Raw genomic sequence first — 19,942 nt, forward strand, 5'->3', positions numbered from 1 at the left:
GGACAAGATTGGAGGGATGTGGGAGAGGAAGAGATAAGCGTACATGTGGGTGGATTGGCCTGGAACTGAGAGAGTGGCTAGTTCTGGAAGAGGGAGGATCCGCCCTTTTCTGCGGGGGAAGAGGGAAGGCATCCTGAATGCTGAGCTGAGCTGCCCACATCCACACATCAGGACTGTAGGATGTGTCCTCCCAGCTGCTGGGTTTCCCCTCTTCTTTGAGAATGGCCTCAGTTGAAGAGTCGCCTTAAGCAAGGCCACAGCTCTTCCTGGGGCCTCCCACATCTTGCTCTCAGAAGGGTCCTCTGCCTGGTTAAAAGCTCTGCTGAGACTATCTTGAAATTCTCAGTGATTTTATCTTTGAATTTGTGTTTTGTTAATCTGATGGGACAATGGAGCACACGTGTGAACAGAGGGAAAACGGCCCAGATGAATGCCCCACATTTCTTGCTACCTCCTTTGGATACAGCATTCAGGATCACCGTGAAACTTCCAGAACATGCTTAATTTGTACTCATTTTGAGTCTCGCTGCGTTCTCATGTATCGTGCCTTCACAGAATTCCGTGCTCATGCTTCCTATCAACATGTCTATGACCGAGTAAGCAAGACACTTGCAACCCACCAGGCCATACTTTTCATTCATCCAGAACTTGCTTTGAACTCAGAAAGAAGGCAGTGGCATTCTAAGAAGCGCAAACAACCAAGAAGCCCTATCATATCCCTTTCTATGTGCATTACTTTCCTGTATTAGCCAACCACTTATCCTGAAAATGATGACATATGAGGAAAGCGAAAAACAGAGCAACACATATTTCCTTTCCCTTTCAGTCTTTGCTTATTCACCAGTGAGCCAAAGGTAAGAAGTATTGATAGAATGTATGCATACCAAGAAGTGAAACAAAACCAGTTTTGTGCAGTATTTCCACTGTTCTGGTAAGAACAAGATACAAGTATATGCCCAAGCTATGAAATTCCAGTGAAGTGATTCTATATGTATGTGTGTGTGTGTGTATTCTTACATTTGCATCTAAAATTGGCATTGCACAACATAAAGATGAACAGTAAAATTTATGCTAATGGTTTAGAATTTTAACTTTACTTACCTCTCATGTTTTATAAGTAATAAAGTGGTTTTTTTTTTTTTTTTTGTCTTGAGACAGAGTCTCGCTCTGTCACCCAGGCTGGAGTGCAGTGGTGCAATCTCAGCTCACTGCACGCTCCGCCTCCCAGGTTCACGCCATTCTCCTGCCTCAGCCTCCCAAGTAGCTGGGACTGCAGGCGCCCACCACCACGCCTGGCTAATTGTTTTTTTAAGTAGAGACGGGGTTTCACCATGTTAGCCAGGATGGTCTCGATCTCCTGACCTCGTGATCAGCCCGCCTCAGCCTCCCAAAGTGCTGGGATTACAGACGTGAGCCGCTGTGCCTGGCCATAATAAAGTATTTTTAAAGAAAAAAGCTAATAGCAAAGATGTGGAATCAACCAAAATACCAATCAATGATAGACTGGATAAAGAATATGTGTTACATATACACCATGGAATACTATGCAGCCATAAAAAGGAATGAGATCATGTCCTTTGCAGGAACATGCATGGAGCTGGAAGCCATTATCCTCAACAAACTAATGAAGGAACAGAAAACCAAACACAGCATGTTCTCACTTATAAGTGGGAGCTGAATGGTGAGAACACATGAACATATCAGGGGGAACAACACACCCTGGGGCCTATGGGGGGAATAGGGGAGAGAGAGCATCAGGATAAACAGCTAATGGATACTGGGTTTGATACCTAGGTGATGAGTTGATCTGTGCAGCAAACCACCATGGTACACCTATGTAACAAACCTGCACATCCTGCACATGTACCTCAGAACTTAAAATTCAGGAAAAAAATAAACAAATAAATAAATAAATAAATAAGCTTTACAGGTGTGGTGGCTCACACCTGTAATCCTTGCACTTTGGGAGGCTGAGGCAGGAGGATTGCTTGAGTCAGAAGTTTGGATCAGCCTGGCAATACAATGAGACCCCATCTCTACAAAAAATTCTTTAAAAATTTAAAAAAGAGAAAAAAGAAAGAAAAAACTTTATAGGCGAGTATATTAAAGAGTACTTTTCCCTCCCTGCTCTTTGAACAAGGGGTCCTGAATTTTCATTTCCCACTTGGTCCACAGATTATGCAGCTGGCCCTGGCTGGGAGCCTTGGGCAAATTACCCAACCTTAGTTTCTTTATCTGCAAACTGATGAAAAAGATGAAGACAGTTAATATATATAAAGGGCTTTCCATAGGGCCCAGCAAAAGTCATGCTATGTGTTTGCCACTGTTATCAGAAAAGTAACTGTGTGGCTGAATCTGGAGGTCAAGGAAGGACCAGAGGGGTGGTGGAGAGAAGATGGGAAGAGTTTGGAAGACTAGAGGTCTGGAAAAGGGAGATGCATGGTTCTAAAGGAGCCACAGGTAGAAAAATGAGAAATTGGCTTTAGGGATCAGGCTTTTTAAACTTAAGGGTTTGCTAATGAAACAGTTCTAGGTGATGACAAGATCCAGGGTGTTGCCATGGAAGTGGGTCACTTAAATGAAATGAAGGTGAAATTTGTCGGTCGCGAAGGAAATCAAGAAACTGCGAGTTCAAGTTATTAGATGAGGCACCTGCTTGGAAACTGAAGCCATTTGGGATGATGACAGAGATTTGGGTGGGAGGAAGACAAGTGCTAGCGGTGGAAGTTCTGTAGGAATCTGCGAGAGTGACTGAGGTCAGCAAATGGCTTCAGTGGGACTGAGAAGAGTGTGGCAAAGGGAAGAGCAGTTGGATGTTGGAGCTCAAAAGAGGAGGAGCAATTGAACGGAGCTGTTTGTTTCAACATGAGGTTTTGCTCCAAAAGGCTGAAAACAATAGCAGCCAACATTTAATATAGAAAGTACCAAAAGCATATCCTTGATCCCAAAGGCAAGTAGAATGAAGCCCAGGACTAATAGGAAAACACCAAGCCCTGATTGGTAGGTAATAGGGTCACAGACAGAAATGTGAGCCAAAGATCAAAGAACAGCAAAGCAGAGGAAGCATGGGAACACAGAGAGTTGGGAGATAAGTGGGGAGAGGTCCAATAATTGGATAAGGCCATCAGACTAATAAGGGATCCAGTTAAATGTCTGGTCATCCTGCTGGCTACAGACATTGTACACAGCGTCTGGGAGCCTGGAGGAGCTGTGGAAAGTCCATTTTACCTCTGCCCCGCAGCGGGCATCCCTTGCCGCCAAGTTCTCTGAAGGCAAGCAGCCCACCTCCCATCAATGAAATGGTGAGCAAGTGATAAAAACATGTCCAGAACATTTCTCTGTCTAAATCAAATTGTAGCTGGTCTGAGTGCTCGCTTCAGCAGCATATCCACTAAAACTGGAATAATACAGAAAAGATTAGCCAAAAAAAGAATTATAACTGGTCTGACACCCCCGAGGTTGCCAATGTCTGCATGTTTTCAGAATATTCTCACATAAAAAACAAACAAACAAAAAACAGCAACAACAAAACTTGGGCTTCTCAGGTCTCAGAAGGTGGAAGTGAGGTGTCCTCTGTTTGGTCCTGTCTATGATGCTCTTGGCTGTGCTCCTCATCCAGGTCCACACAGGTGAACTGATACCATGGAGACTCCCAAGACCATGGCCTGGGTGCTCAATCCTCACGGACACCCATGGAGCCCTCCAGAGCCACCTGATCCTCCCTCCTCAGAAGATCTGCATTCCCTGGGGTTCAGGTATCTGCCTCGATGGAAACCACAGGCCTCTTCCTTCTCCTCCTTTCCCTTCCTGAGTATCTGGCTATCCTCTTCAGGGTCAGAGGTAGGCCCTCCTCCTCAGCCAGCCCTTTTCATTTCAAACCCCACACTACACACCCACCAGGTTTCTCCCCTATATGTCAAACCGCATTTAATCGCTTGGTCGTTCCCGAGTTTAGCAAAAATAATGGCATCTGGCAACTTCTCCTTTGTTCTATGAAACAGAGGTAAATGTTATTAACCGAATAAAGAAACTTAGACCTCAAGGACACAAAAACCTGGAAGAGAGATAGAAGGAGGGGTGGGGAGGAGGAAAGGAAATACCTTTCGTGCCTTTGTGTTGAGCCTACTGCAGAGAAAAACAAGACACAGGTAATTTCTGAGTCAGTTATTCTGCTCCATTAAAGTCTCAATAAATTGCCTTGCTATAATGCAAACTCTCTGGAATGTGAGCATGGTCTTTGGTAGATTCAGGATTCACCCCTGGAGGGGAGCATAATGAAGACATGGAACTAGTTAGGTGTCCCAGAGGCCTGTCATGGTGGCTGGGGGAAGATGTCTGAGTCTGAGACAGGAGCTGACCAGGCCTTGGGCATCTGATCCCCCAGAGGAGCCAAGTTCTCACTGTGCCCAGTGACCTTCCCGCAGTTCCTCAGAAAATGACATTAAGCCCAATCACATGTGTTCAGGCATACAAATGGATATCAGAAAGCATTTGCCTGAGGTTGGGGGTGAAAAAGAGAATGTATTTCTGAGCCAAATACAATAAGCAAAGTGTGCAAACCTTCTCAGGATTGCTTATTAGCCAAGGGAAAAGGGAGTTAGGGAGAGTGATTGGGGAAGGAGATGAGGCTGGGAGTCCTGCAGCCACAGAATCTGAGCAGATCCTGGTCTTTGCTCTCATTTCAGGTAACAAGATGGAAAAGTTAGAGCCCTTTTATTATTTTTTTTTTTTAATGAAGAAAACAGCCCTCTTGGGTTTCTCACTCCCAGTTAACACTCACCACACTACCTAAGCTCTTAACTCAGGGCCAGGGTCAGGGAGAAACTCTGAAAATAATAGCAATGGCTGCATTTTGCCCAGAAGCCACATCTTTTTTCTTTGTGCTTTCCTTGTTTTCGCCTCATTCATTTCCAGAAGTGGTAGCAGGTCCATGCTTTTTGTTTTCGGTGGCTGTGTGTGTGTGTGTGTGTGTGTGTGTGTGTGTGTATGTGTGTGTGTCTTACAACCCTGGCAAGGGGCATAAGTAAGAAAATCAATATTTGTTTCAAATGTGAAATTTACAGGAAGGGCCTGGGGGAGGAGAGAGAAGTTGAGGCAGATGACTGGAATGCTCAGAAAAGAGGGGCCTTTTTGGAGGATGGCCAGCCATCCCCTGAGAGAGGAGCCCACCTCTGAGGGAGGGGCTGTCCTCCAGCTGCTCAGGCAACAGACTGAGGCCTCGCTCGGGGAATGGCTTCATGGAGGGCCAGGCTGAGACTGTGGTGCAGGGGACCACGGGCAGGAGGGGAAGCTAGGAGTGAGGCTGGTAGGTGGACTGGGTGGGCCTAAAGGATTTCTTTTAGGGAAATGGTGGGGACAGCTGTGTACTGCCCTGGAAATATTGCTTTTGATGAGATTGTCAACATTGCTTGACAGATGCACCACCAATCTTTAGCCAGATAATTCTCTGGAACCATTAAAGATACCCTGGGGACTGTCCAGTCTGTGGGCTGCAGTGTTGACGGCTGCCACCCTAATGACATCAAAGACAACATCGATGGCGGCGCAGAGGAGTGCCCAGCTAGGTAAAAAGTACAAAGGAAAATATTTCGATAAAGGACCATTTGACAACTAGTAACATAAATAAATACATAAATAAATAATAATTAAGTAAATAAACTCACTCCCCAAGGGATAAAGTCACACTAGTGCCAGGGCAGGCTCAACATCCAAAGCTGGACCTTACAGACCATGGAGATTCTTAACTTCAGTTAGGAGGCAGGGCTTTGCTTCAGGGAGGTTCCTATACTTTGTCACAGGACCTCCTGCAGTGACTCAGCTACAGAGATGGCTACAGTCCTTGAGGGAGAGGCAGAGAAAGCTGGCAAGAGTTATGTAAGATGGTGGAACCCTGGCCATGTGGATGAAGATTCAGGGCCATTCTCTAGCCCCAGACTCTACCAGGGAACCAAAGCAGGAGCCCACTATGCTGTCTGGGCCATCATGAGTGGGGCCATCTGAACCTTGGTGAGTACCTAGGTCACCCAAGCCCACTAGATGCTGAACTGAAGATAGCAAAATTCAGACCGTGCCTCCTTGTATAGATGGAGCTGTCACACGCCCTATGCTGGGGTCAGCTTCTACTCAGAGTCTAGGAGAGTGTGAGCCTGCAGACGAAAGGTCCTTGAGGCCTACAACCGAATGGGACTGAAAGCTAGCAGGGGCTGAATAGACCCAGGGAGAGAGAAGGATGGGGAAACCAGCACACAGTGGCTCTTGCCATGAGGAAACAGCAGGAGACCAAGCTGCCTCTGCAAGTGGAGGAGAAGAGTATGGAGCAGAGCCACAGCCATGCAGAGCTCTGCTGCCAGCTGACCTTGGGATCCTCCGGAAATAACCCAACCTCCATGCACCCTAGTTTCCTTATCTTGGGGAAATCATATTTTATAGATAAAAATCTCATCTACAATGTAGGCTTATAAGAAATACTCTAAAAACTTCTTTAAATCAACTGGAACCCAGTTCTTGGTTCATATTCTTCTAAGCAAGTGGATAATTATTTCATCTTAGTCATTGAGGAGACTCCCCACCCTAGGGCTGTGCAAAGGTCCTGGGATCTTATGCAGTGCAGAGGCATCTGGAAGTCTTTTATTCATCCGGTGACTACTTTTTGACATCTGCTTGAACCAAACACTGTTCCCGGCACAGAATGTATGAGCAAAAGAGACAGAGTCTCTGTTCTCAAGAAGTTTACGTTCTGTAGGGGATGGTAAGAAAGGGGAGGTGTGTGTCCATGTGGTATGTATCAGATGGGGGTAAGGCAAAAGATGTGTAAACAAATGAATCAACCAATAAATATAATGATTTCAGGGAGAGGCAAATGTGGTTTTGCAGAACCCAATATATAACATACCTGTTCCCAGCCTGTGTTCTGAACGGTTGGAGAGACAGATATATGAGTCAGACAGTGGATACCCAAGCACCATGGCTAATCACAGCTAGGTTGGAGGATGTGGCTCCAGCCCACGGTTGGAGTGCAGCAACCATGAGCTTCATGGCACTGTACCCTGGAATTAGGCAGATTTGCACATCCAGTTTTAGGCAGTGATGGTTGACCACAGGCCTCCATCTGCAAGGGCAGAGCCTCTACCCCAAAGCCTACTTCCTGGCTTATAGACGATCAGCACTCATGTTCTCTGCCTGAAGTATGTCCCAGCAAGAAAGGGAGGGGCCCATGTAGTCCCAGGAACTTCTCCGAATTTGCCAACCAGATAAGACACACCTGCTCTGCGGAGGAATGGGTAAGGGCTGGGGAGACCAGTAGTGTTACTCTGTCTGATGGAAGGTCCTTCCCATGGAAGGGAACCTTGGGACCTTGTCCCCTCCTAATGCTATGGGGTAAACAGTGTAGGATGATAGGCTGGAGAGTGAGGGGTGGGGGAACATGGTGATTACTTTAGCCTGAATGGTTAGGAAAGGCACTCTGAGGAGGTGACATTTGATTAGAGACCCAGATGATGGGAGTGAGCCACTATGTGAATATTTGGAAAGGAGCTCTCAAGACGTGGGGGTGGGGGTGGGGGAAGTGGGGGGAGTGGGTGGAGGCTCTAAAGAGGGAGGGAGTTTGGTGTGTTCAAGGAGCAGAAAGCCAGCCAGCGCTGCTGGAGTGAGTGAGAAAACAGGCAACGATGGAGGCTAAAGTCAGTAAGATAGCAGAGGCTGGCCCTCTGCTTTGTCCTATTCTAATGGCAAATCGCAGCTTCTGAAGTTTTCTAAGTGCAAACCAATTCAGCACCAGGCAAGAGTCATCCTTCCAGAGAGCTCACCTCTCTTGATTCCCAGACTCATGTTTTTTCTGTTATCATGTGCGGTCTCTTCCCAGAAACAGAAGGATTTGTTATCCCTGCCCTATCTTCCTCAAACAGTTGTGTTGAAGATGAAAAGGTAGAGCCCGTGACAAAGCTCTGAAGAGTTACAAGTGCAGTTAACCAACTCCTAATTAGGCTGTAACCCTCCACTCTTGCCTTGCGGCTACGGGTTGTGGCCAGAGGCTCAACTTGGGGTCAGGCAGCCTAGGAAATTGAAAAAGAGGTAGGAGATCCAGACATGACAGAATCCAACCTCCCCACTTTTAGAGGAGTTCAGATCAGCAAGGAGAGGCAGACTGGTCAGGTAGCAGAAGAAGTGGGGTACACCCCAGGACTTTGGGTCCCTAGAGTCCTTTCCATTGCCCTCTGTGAAGATAATGCCTTTGTTTTGCTAACATAGGTTCCTTTCTTAAGTGCCAAGAATGAATGAATAAATAAGCACTCGTGGAGCCTCTATTACGTTTAAAGACTTTCTCTTTGTCCTGGCTCCACATTCAGTACCTCGCTTACTCTTTTTTCCTCTCCCCTCTGTCTCCCTCTTCCCCTCCCTTTCTCCCTCTTTTAATCTACTGTGATCTTGAGCCTCCCAGATACTCTGTTTTCCCTTCTACATCCAGGCCAATCGTAATTGCCCTCCCTATGGTACAGGGTGATTGTGAGATTTCAATGAGATAACAAATGCAAAACACTTTGTAAACTGTAAGGTTTTACTAAGCTGTAAGGAGAAATGTTTTTATCATTAGCCGAGGGAAGGTAAGAGCCCCTCAGGATGGGTGAGCAGCCCCTACTTGCATACAGATGCAACCTCCCCTGCTCTTGCTTGCCTGGACTCCCCCTGCCCTCCTACCAGTTCCCTGGCCTGTAGTTTATCTTCCTGCCTCTGTTATTTTTTCCCCCCACTCTGCTTCCACCCCCAAGCGGAACTCAGCCCAGACACAGCAGCTGATAGTTAGCAAAGTGCCTGCTTTTTAACCTAATTATCTCAATGGGCTTGCCTGGGGCACAGGGGGTCAGGGAATGGATGGGAGGTCACACCACAAGCCTCCAGGTCCCCTGGGAGTAGGCGGCTCCTCTGGCAGCCTCCCAGCACTCTGGCTGGCCACACCCTACACAAGATTTCAAATCTATGCTGGCCAGGAAGACAAAATAAAAACTCAGAGGAGTAGGTTCACAGCAAGGTTTCTCAACCTACTCTAATTTGGGCCAGACAATGCTTTGTTCTGGAGTGTTCTGAGCAGTGTAGGATGTTTAGCAAGATGGCAACCAAAACTGTGATAAACAGTGACGCGAACACACCCGCTCAACTTTTTCATTATTTTAGTGTTAATCTATGGGTCTATTCTCTAAATGCTGCCATTTTGCTCTTGATGTGCTGTGTGTGTGTGTACATGTGTGCACATGTGCGCCGTAGCAAATGACTGGAGGAGCTGTCCCCAGTGAAACGCAGATTGGCTCCGATGTGATTGATACACTGAACAACGTGAGCATAAAGCAGACTTCACGTTTGCTTATGCACGATTCTGGCCTCCAGAAACGCTAGGTGAACACAGAAAACTGAACCAGCTGCAGTGAATATACCAAACACACGCACACACATCAAATATCTTCAGAAAGAGGGAGCGTGAGCAAGCCAGCACACTTTCCTTGTCAAACTCCTGCACTTTTCCTTTTTTGCCCAGTAGATGGGGACGGGGTGGAGAAGAGCTGGTCTGGAGGTGGGGAGGCTGGGTGGAGTTGAGTTACAGCACCAAGAGCACCCTGGGCTATAAGGGAACTAGAATGCAGTTGTTAGCAGCAGCGAATCTGCATGGGTCTGCAGCAACCTCAAGTCTCCTCAGAAGAAAGAATTTGACCAAGGGGCATAAGGCAGAAGGAGAGACCCGGGCAAGCTTCAGAGCAAGAGTGGAAGTTTATTAAAAAGCTTCAGAGCAGGAATGAAAGAAAAGTACACTTGGAAGAGAGCCAAACAGGTGACTTGAGAGATCAAGTGCGTAATTTGACCTTTGATTTGTTTTTTGTTTTGTGTGTGTTTTTTTGAGATGGAGTTTCGCTCTTGTCGCCCAGACTGGAGTGCAGTGGCGTGATCTCGGCTCACTGCAACCTCCGCCTCCCGGGTTCAAGCAATTCTCCTGCCTCAGCATCCCTAGTAGCTAGGATGACAGGCGCCCACCACCACACCTGGCTAATTTTTTTGTATTTTTAGTAGAGATGGGGTTTCACTGTGTTAGCCAGGATGGTCTCAATCTCCTGACCTCAGGTGATCCGCCCGCCTCGGCCTCCCAAAGTGCTGGGATTACAGGCGTGAGCCACTGCACCCAGCCTGATTTGGGGTTTTATACGTTGGCATACTTCTGGGGTCTTGGGTTACCTCTCCCCTGATTCTTCCCTTGGGGTGGGATGACCACGTGCTCAGTGGCCTGTTAGCACTTGGGAGGGGAGCTTGCACAGCGTGTTTACTGGAGTTGCGGGCGTTCTTCCCTTACTAGTCCAGTGTTCCTAGAGGAAGGTCACATACCAGTTAAATGCTGCCATTTTGCCTCTTGGTGCGCATGCCTGGGCCCACTCTCCCAACTCCTGAGATCTTATCGGGCAGCTGCTGATCACCAGTTTCAGGTGTTTTGTTTGTTTTTGTTTTTGTTTTTTTTTGTTTTTGTTTTTGTTTTTTTGACAGTGTTGTTCTGTCACCCAGGCTGGAGTGCAGTGGTGTGATCTTGGCTTATTACAACCTCCACCTCCCAGGTTCAAGCGATTCTCCTTCCTCAGCTTCCTGAGTAGCTGGGATTACAGACACCCATCACCATGCCTGGCTAATTTTTGTATTTTAAGTAAAGACGGGGTTTCACCATGTTGGCCGGGCTGGTCTCAAACTTCTGACCTCAGGTGATCTGCCTGGCTTGGCCTCCCAAAGTGCTGGGATTACAGGCATAAGCCACTGCGCCCAGCCCCAGTTTCAGGTTTTTTCTATCTATTGAAACTGCCTTTCCCTGGCATTGGCTGTAACCAATTATTATTTTAGACAGCTAACAACTGCCTGACCATCACCTGATGGTCACCTGACATTCCTGGTGGTAGGGGGCCCTCTCCTGCCCTGTTCACACCTGACTACATACCGTAACAAAGTGATGAAGGAGCTAGGAGGAGGTAAAAATGGATAACTTGAACCAATGGGTAGAAATAAGAGAGCCAAGTCAACTGGAGAAGGATTTTGTAACAATCAGGGCAATCATGGAATGGATTGGTTGAGTGTTTCTCATTCCTGAATGAATTTAAGAGGAGGGTGTGTTGTGGAAGGGAGGACAACAATGGGTAGGTGTTTTGACTGAAAGACCCACATGTTTTTTTCTAACTTTGAGGTTCCATAATGTTGTGAAAGCTGCTGTAGGAAATGCCAGTTTTGAACAAGGAAGTGAGTTCCTAGAATGGGTGCATTAAGAGAATTAATCTGGAAGTTCTGAGAGACACATCAAAAGAGGTAGAAAGGCTCCCAGAGGAAAGGCCTCATTGCAGAGACCTAGTCATAAAATCATGGGGACATAAATATATGTGCCAAGGCAGAGACAGAAAGAATGTGGGTGAGTGGGTGCTAAGGAAGAGGAATGTGACGATCAAGGGGAGAGCTTTTTCCTGGGTCCTCTGAAGGTTCTCTGAAAAATCAACTCACAAAAGGTAGAATAATTAGAGAGAAGGCATACAAATTTATTTAATGTATGCACGGAGTATTCATGGGAAGGATCACAGAATAATTACACCTCAAGGTAGATCAGAAGCTTGTACACCATCCTGGCAAAATAGGTTATGAGAGGAGAGAGAAGAAGAATTCTGTTGAGGGGATTACTAAATGAACGGGTCAGGGAGCAGAGATCAACTTGTACGTAATCTTGCGAAAGGGGCTGTTCAGGTGTGGTGATATTCTTGGTCTTAGAGGGAGGGGAATTAAAAAACAACCGCTTCTTTTGATGGGTCTGTGCCTTAGATAAAGGCTTTGGGAGAGACGGTTGGGGCTGGAGGCCAGGGGGAAGGTCAGAGAGACCTTGAGGCTTCTTCAGTTTGTCATGACAAAGTACCATATTTTGTGGTATCAGTTTCTGAGCCCCAACAGGAACTAGCAGGATTTGGAATTGATCAGATTTGGGGAAAAGTGTGGAGAAGAGGAAGAAGTAATGAGGAGGGGGGACCCCCCACTGTCATAAACATAGATGACTAAAATGATGGTCAACTGTGGGGGAAGATGATAAGTGTGGTTTTATGCTATGCTATTTTTGAGAAGGTACGTGCTGTAATCTGTTTAATGATAGGTTTTATGCAGGAAACATCACTGTACTCTAGAAGCATCTAGCACGGTGCTGGGCACAGAACAGGCACTACATGATAATGGGTTGACTATTAGTTGCGAGGTTCCTGGTGACAAATCCAGGCCCAAATATCTCAGGCAGTGTGTGTGTATGTGTACATTTTCATTTCAGAGCTCTCGATGACTCATTTGGTGGGATAAACAAATTCATGTGCCATTCTGAGAGAGACCACGTTGGGGTGGGGGTGCGGAACAATGGGAGAGGCATTTTATAGTTCATCACGATATTGGTATCTACAGCTCATTTTGTACATAAGTATTAATAGCACTTCCAGGATTTAGACAAATTAAATGTTGAGTGACAGTGAGGCATCCAAGTAGAAAAGCCCAGAAGGCAGTTGGAGACACTCAACTGGAGCTAAGGGAAGAAGTCAGGGCTATTGCTTGAGATATGAGAGATGTCACACTTCGAGGAAGAAGATGGGAAGGCTGGAGAAGCAAGGGACCCACCTGAGCCTCAGGCAGGCCCAGTGAGAAAAAGGAGTGAGGGAGTGGGGAGTGGGAAGGCCAGTGAAGAAGGCAGTCCACTGTGTCCAGGAGGAGGCGGAGGGAGGAGAGAATGCTGTCAAATGCTGCAGGGGATGAGGGAGAAGAGCTCTGAAAAATGCATTTAATCCGGCACAGAGGTAGGTTTCTAGGTAACGGGGAGAATGTAGCTCTAACGGAGTGGTGAGGATGGAGTGCGTATCGCAGGGTGTCACCAAATGACTGGGCAGGAAGAAGACGAGAGTAGGGGTATGAATGGACAATTTTGTCTGTGAACGGAAAGTGAAATTTAGAGATGTGTGGTTAAAATAAGTGGTTCAGAATGTAAGACCTCAAATAATACAAAAAAGAGTTAAGAAGATGTCTTAAAGGACATTGAATTTGAGTTGGGTGCTAAAAAATGAGTGAGCTCTGGCTGGGTGGAGAGCAGTGAATGGAAGTTTCAGGCATGCATTTGCCTCATGGTAACATTCTGGAAATCCCCAGGGTAGTGAACTGAGTTTGAGAGGCAGAGCGCTTTGAACTGAATACAGTTCACGTCAACGGAGAGTGGGACCTGGTGCTGTTTGACTCCAGGGTCCTCTGATAGTTGGAAGAAAGTTAAATAATAGGTAGCAACTATCAGCTTATGACATACAAATTGTTGAGGTTGAAAGCTCAGGCCTTGGGGTCAGAGAAACAAACCTCTCGAACTAACTTGGAACATCTAGATCACTTAGGGTGCTAGGAGTGTGGCCTTGAGCTCCTTACTTATGAAATATACATAGTAATACCTCCTTCAAAGCGTCGTTGTAGGGCTTAATGAGTTTAACACAAATGGCCCAGCTAACCATCTTTTGTACTACAGAAAACTGATGTTAAGTGTTTTTGTTTTTTTTTTTTTTTTTTTTTGCGGAGTTTCACTCTGTCGCCCAGGCTAGAGTGCAATGAGTGGCGGCATCTCAGCTCACTGCAACCTCCACCTCTTGGGTTCCAGTGATTCTTCTGCCTCAGCCTCCTGAGTAGCTCAGATTATAGTTGTGTGCCACCACGCCTGGCTAATTTTTGTATTTTTAGTAGAGATGAAGTTTCACCATGTTGGTCAGGCTGGTCTAGAACTCCTGACTGAGGTTAAGTTTTAACCAAGGTTGCTCAGCCAGTATGGAGTGGGATGAGATCAAACCTAGTTCTCCAATGCCAGAGATTGTCCTCTTTCACTTGCTTTCCTTCTCCCTTCTTCACATTTGTTAACTACTTTTTATAGGCTGGACTCTAAGGGGTGCATGCATGTCTCTCTCTCTTTCTCTCCTGTGCCTTTAGTCACATGTGGTGGGAGTAGGGTGGAGAGATGGGTACAAGGATAAATAAGGCATAGATTCTGTCCTTGAAGTGCCCGTGGTCCAGGCTAGTGGGGAAGGTACTATGCAGAGAGGTAATTAAAATAAAATGTGATAAGCGCAAAAATAGACTATAAACAGAGTGTCATGGCAGCCCAGGAGTGAGATAAACTCTTCCTGGGAAAGCTGGGAAAGGCTGCATAGAACAGGTGATGCTCATCTTGGATCCTGAAGAATAAATCAGCATTTGTCAGATAGAGATCAAAGAAAAGGCATTGCAGGAGAGAAGAACACAATGCAAAGGCCTGGACTCCTGTGGCAGCCACAGCATGGTATGTTCAGGAACAGGGCAAGCTCAAAAGCTCAGCATTTGGGGTACATGTCAAGAAGAGAGGAAGATGAGGCTGAAAAATGAGGTGGGGCCAAATTGTCAAGGGAGAGTTTCATGGTGGGCCAAGGAGCTTGAGCTTTATTTTTGGGTGATGAGAAACCAGCAGAAGCCTTTGGTAGGGGAATGAGTAGGTTTAATTTTTTTTTTCTTTTTGGGAGTACCAGTTTCATTGACATACAATTCACAATTCACCTATTTAAAATGTAGAATTAAATGGTTTTTACTATACTCACTGAATTGTTCAACCATCACTACAACCAATTTTAGAATGTTTTCATCACCCCCCAGAGAAATTTCATATCCTTTAATGGTAAGAACACCCACCCCTTCTTCCCCCAATCTCTCTCCAGCTCTAGGTAACTGTTACAGTCTCATCTGTGCACCATGATGTTGCAGTCTCTTGTTGTAAGGTATCACCCCGAGTTCTTTGTCTCAAGACCAGGAGAATTAAGGAGCATGGACACAAAAAGTGAGGTTGAGGCGAAAGTTTCATAAGTGAAAGAAAGCTCTCTGCTGCTGAGAAGGGACCCGGAAGGGGGTTGCTGTTTTCACAGTTGAATGCAAAGGCTTCTATAGGAAACCGATGAGGGATTAGTGTCTCATTTGCATAAGGTGCAAATTTCTCGTCGCTCCATCCCGTCCTCCTAACGCACATGTGGGCCCTTAGCTTGAGTTACTCCATATTGCTTTGTTCCCCTTCCTGCGCATGTGTCAGGGGATGGAATTTTCTATTATGGGCATTTCCAGGCAAGTCACCTGTGTAGCCTTTCTTATCTGTGCAGCTGTGGGCATGTCTTAGGCAAGTCCTCCTGTGCAAGTTCCCTTATCTGTGCCTGCAGGCTGTTTTTTTGTTTGAAAATATTCAACCGAGGACCTACCCTAACTGCCTGCCTGCTTTTTTTTCTTTCTCCTCTCTCATAACCAGTTATCTACTTTCTGTCTCTATAGCTTTGCCTACTTTGGATATTTCTTGTAAATGAAAGCATATAATATGTGGCCTATTGTGACTGCCCTCTTTCACTTAACATAATTATTTCTCCGTGTTCTAATTGTGCTTCATTCCTTTTTATTGCCAAATAATATTCCATTGTTTTGGATATGCCACATTTTGTTTATCCATTCATCAGTTGATGAACATTTAGTTTGTTTCCACTTTCTGGCTAGTGTGAATAAAGTTGCTATTAACATTCATATACAAGTTTTAGTGTGGACCTAGGTTTTCATTTCTTTTGGGTATATACCTAGGACTAGAATTGCTGTATCATATGGTAACTCTATGTTTAACAATCTTATGAGAAATTGATGGACTGTTTTCCAAAACAGCTGTACCATTTTACACTCTCACCAGCAATGTATAGAGGTTCTAATTTCATTACATCTTTGCCAACTCTTGTTACTATCTGTCATATTTGTTTTTCAGGAGGCTTGCTAGGGCATCAGTTTGAAGGGTAGACAGGTGTAGACCCCTTAGGAGGCCGTTTCAGTGACCAACATGAGAGATGATAGCAGAACTGGCTGCCAATCTGGCTAATACTGTTACTGACTGTATAGACTTCTTGATCCAATTTCTCTCTTGTGGATCTACAAGTGCGGACTTGAGCATTCTACTGTGAGGAAGAAGTCTCCTCTCCCCTTCCATGGGGTCCCATTGAAGCCAGCAGGAAAGGATTTCAATCAAAGAAGAAATATACTTCTGGTGTTTACTGGTACTGTTCTCTTCGGTTACATGGTAGTTGTGAGGACTTTCCTAGCTCAGCTACATAACAGGGATTAAGGAATTTTGCCTTGTTTTCACAGGGAGGTACTCAAAATAGACAAAATCTTCTTTGGTCAGAGAATGAGATGGAAAAACAATCATTAACTCTGGAAAGCAGGATAATGAGTTCCTTCTTATGGGATTGAATCCAGTGGATAAAATTCTCTGGGCCAGCCTAGTCAAGACTCCAAACCGGCCTGGCACGGTGGCTCACGCCTGTAATCCCAGCACTTTGGGAGGCCAAGACGGGTGGATCATGAGGTCAGGAAATCGAGACCATCCTGGCGAACACGGTGAAACCCTGTCTCTACTAAAAAAACAAAAATATTAGCCGGGTGTGGTGGCGGGCGCCTGTAGTCCCAGCTACTCGGGAGGCTGAGGCAGGAGAATGGTGTGAACCCGGGAGACGTAGCTTGCAGTGAGCCAAGATCGCGTCACTGCACTCCAGCCTGGGTGACAGAGCAAGACTCCATCTCAAAAAAAAAAACAAAACTCCAAACCAGTACCACCTTCCAATATATGAAGCTCAGCTAACAAAAACACTCTCTGATGTAAGAGTTTCGAGAATGTCATTTTTCCATTTAAGTCTTTACTACGCTACCAGTATTCTCCAAGGTCCTGCGTTAGTCCCAGTCTCGCCTCTGTGCAGTGGCCACATGATGGTTTTCTGTTTTCTCAGGAAGGCTAAGGCTCACCTACAGATTCCTCTTGCCCTGAAGAGACAGTAGAGGCCCAGGAGACTTGGAGCAGTAACACTCAGTGTCAGTGAGCCTTCTTTCATTTGATGAATATTTATTGATTCTCAACCGCACGCTGTGCTCTGTGCTAAGTCCTCTTGAGCACTGAACAAGACAAACAAAGCCCCTACCTTCAGATAACTTTCAGTCCAGGCAGAACCTTCATAAAGGAAGAGAAACACACACACACACACACACACACACACACACACACACGACATTGAGAAAGAATATGTGTATGTGAGAATTTAGGCTTTAGTTAGAATGCAGTCACTTGCCCTTGAATTAGTTAGAATTGTTTAGCAAAACAGTACTCCTATCAGCATCAAAGGACTGTAGGGCTACAGGGCAGACTTCCCTCTCCTGAAACAAAATGGAAGGGCTTGCAGGTGTATGCGTGTGTGTGTGTGTGTGTGTGTGTATGTGTGTGCGTGCTTGCGTACACATGCATGGGAGGGGGTTCCTCCAGGCAGGAAAATCCAGAGGGTCCTAAAGCCTCTTCTCTTCAATCTCCAACCCCCACCCTCCCACTTCAAAATGTCTAGATTGTTACAGGGCAAAGGGACAGGAAATTGTGGGTCAGCAAAATCCCAAGTTTATAAAAATAAAGCACACACCAATGCAATAAAGTGTGTAAGACAAAGACTTTCCTTTAGAAGTGGGAGCTTGAAAGTGCAGGAGATCACAAAAAAACAAGGAAGCGATGCTTCTCTCCCAATTATTGTGCACTCTCAGCTGTATTTTGTTGACCTCGCTGATTTCAATCAGCTTTCAGCACATCCAGCCTTCACCTGCTATGAATCAAAACCTGGAGGGCTCTCTGTTCTCTGTGCTCAGAAAAAAAAAAAAACCCTTTGATAAGGTTGTTATGGATGCAAGGCAGAGCGGGTTGGGCTGGGTGCTTTTCTTAGCCTGGCATTACACATTTATGATGCAAACCAATGAAGAAGCAAGGGCTCAGAGCGCAGGGTCTGGAGAGGGGGGCCTGAGGCGCAGGTGGGGCGGGGTTTGCCTTAGGGGAGTCGCTCACCCCTGTTTGTCTTTCATTGTTGGAACAAAAGGCTGATGAGGGAAGGGCAGGTGCTGGAAGGCTGTGACCACAGGTCTCCTTTGAGGAGCTTAGGACTGTGAAGCTCAGTTTAGGACTTCTATCATGATCTCTGGGCTCCTCCATGGATTGACTTTTCTCTTAGGAAGGTGAATGGACTGACGATTTTGAGCACTAGAAACCTCTTTGGCAGAACATAATCTCCATGAAGGCAGGGATTTTTTTGTCTGCTTTGTTCACTCGTCTGATGTCTAGAAAAGTACCGGGCATAAAATAGGCATTCAATTAAGTATTTGTAGAATTAATGAACGGCTAGGCATCCTGGTTTTTAGGGCCACCCTGACAGGGGTGCATAGTATAAGATCATTTCTTCTTGGCTTTGGTGAATTTAGGAGCTTTTCTGGGCTCCAGGCTGCTATAGTGACTGCTGCTGGGGGTGGTTGGGGAGGATGATAGTGAGTGTGGGAGACAGATGGTGGAGGAAAATCAGGTGGTTCAATTAGCTTGTACTAAAAAATACAGATGCTCATATACATATCACCCACCCCGTAACCGTCTGCTCTTACCAAGGGAAAGAGCAGAACCCTCCTTTTCTGCTTTCTCCCACAATTAAACCCCCAAGCATATGATTTTTTTTCAAACTTCCTTTCTTCTTCAAGGCTACCCATAACATTACTTATTCCTATTTGGATGCTGGCTATTTATGTAACTTTGATTTTTCACCTCTAATATATCAGTTTTCTCATTTGCAAAATGGGCTTCATAAAATTGATCTCATCAAGTGGTCAAGAAAATAAATGAATTAATGTATGATCAAGCCCCTAGCACGTAAGAGCTGCCCCATGTATGCTAACATTGCGTGCCGTAGCTACTACCACTAAAACTAATTATTGTTCCTCAACACAAATATGAGTCTAAGATTGCTCTTTGTGATTCAGGCCTGAGGTGGGAAGAGGGAAGAGGAAGACAGCTGTTCTTGACTGGGACCATATTTCCTGAGGGCAGATGTCCCTCTTCTGATAACAGATTCCCTACCAGTCCTTTCTCAAGGCCCAGACTGATCAAGAGCCACCATTGGGTTTCTCCAAATGGTGGTGCCCAGGACACAGGGTGTTTTCAGTATTTATTTATTTATCTTTTGGGAGATGAAGTCTCACTCTGGCACCCAGGCTGGAGTGCAGTGGTGCAATCTCGGCTCACTGCAACCTCTGCCTCCCAGGTTCAAGCGATTCTCCTGCTTCCATCTCCTGAATAGCTGGGGTTACAGGCATGTGCCACCATATCCAGCTGATTTTTGTACAGTTAGTAGAGATGGGGTTTCACCATCTTGGACAGGCTGGTCTCGAGCTCCTGACCTCAAGTGATCCGCCCATCTTGGCCTCCCAAAGTGCTGGGATTACAGGCGTGAGCCACCGCTCCTGGCCCTGTTTTCAGTGTCCTCCAGTGACTCCCCTTACTTCTCCTTGGGAGCCAGGTCTCACCACTTAGTGCTTCTTTAATTCTCCCGACATCCCCTGCCATGTTTTGCATGTAGTATGGTGTTATATTTCAAATTTGACATTGGATCTCATGATCTAATGAAAGATTTGGGGTTGCTTTCAGGTGGGAAAGCCAGTATGGGAGGCTTGGGGAAGCAGCAGGATGAGGTCCTGGACTGGGTAGTGACAGCAGGCAAGTCACAGGGGCAGGTAGCCTGGGCTCACCTTCCTGCCCCAGCCCTCATCAGCTGTGTGATGCCAGACATGTTATGAAACCCCTCTGTGGGTCAGTTTTCTAGTCTAGAAAGCAGCAGTGATGATCCACTCAACAAATATTTAGTAATCACCTCTGTGTGCCAGGTACAGTTTACAAAAGGCATTGACATCACAGGTCAATAGATGAGGATCTGCACGGAATAGATGAGATAGTGTATGAATTACACTCAGCTAGAAAGCATGGAACATGCCGGGCGCGGTGGCTCACGCCTGTAATCCCAGCACTTTGGGAGGCCGAGGCAGGTGGATCATGAGG

At 46.0% G+C, this 19,942-nt stretch overlaps 1 pseudogene, besides 2 other annotated features; it reads left to right on the plus strand.

Moving 5' to 3' along the window:
- Positions 3,280 to 4,479: an enhancer, noted in NCBI's record as "MED14-independent group 3 enhancer chr11:115446673-115447872 (GRCh37/hg19 assembly coordinates)". NCBI's record gives its function as "activates an origin of replication core promoter dependent on BRD2, BRD4, P300/CBP and CDK7 cofactors, and independent of MED14, by STARR-seq in HCT116 cells {active_cell/tissue: HCT116}" and the evidence as "EXISTENCE:reporter gene assay evidence [ECO:0000049][PMID:35650434]".
- On the plus strand, positions 5,374 to 5,568 carry RPL12P46 (ribosomal protein L12 pseudogene 46; annotated as a pseudogene).
- Positions 13,167 to 13,236: an enhancer, noted in NCBI's record as "active region_5545". NCBI's record gives its function as "activates an Ori minimal core promoter by ATAC-STARR-seq in GM12878 lymphoblastoid cells {active_cell/tissue: GM12878}" and the evidence as "EXISTENCE:reporter gene assay evidence [ECO:0000049][PMID:35858748]".

Source organism: Homo sapiens, chromosome 11 (assembly GCF_000001405.40).
Source record: "Homo sapiens chromosome 11, GRCh38.p14 Primary Assembly".
NCBI classification, from domain to species: domain Eukaryota; kingdom Metazoa; phylum Chordata; class Mammalia; order Primates; family Hominidae; genus Homo; species Homo sapiens.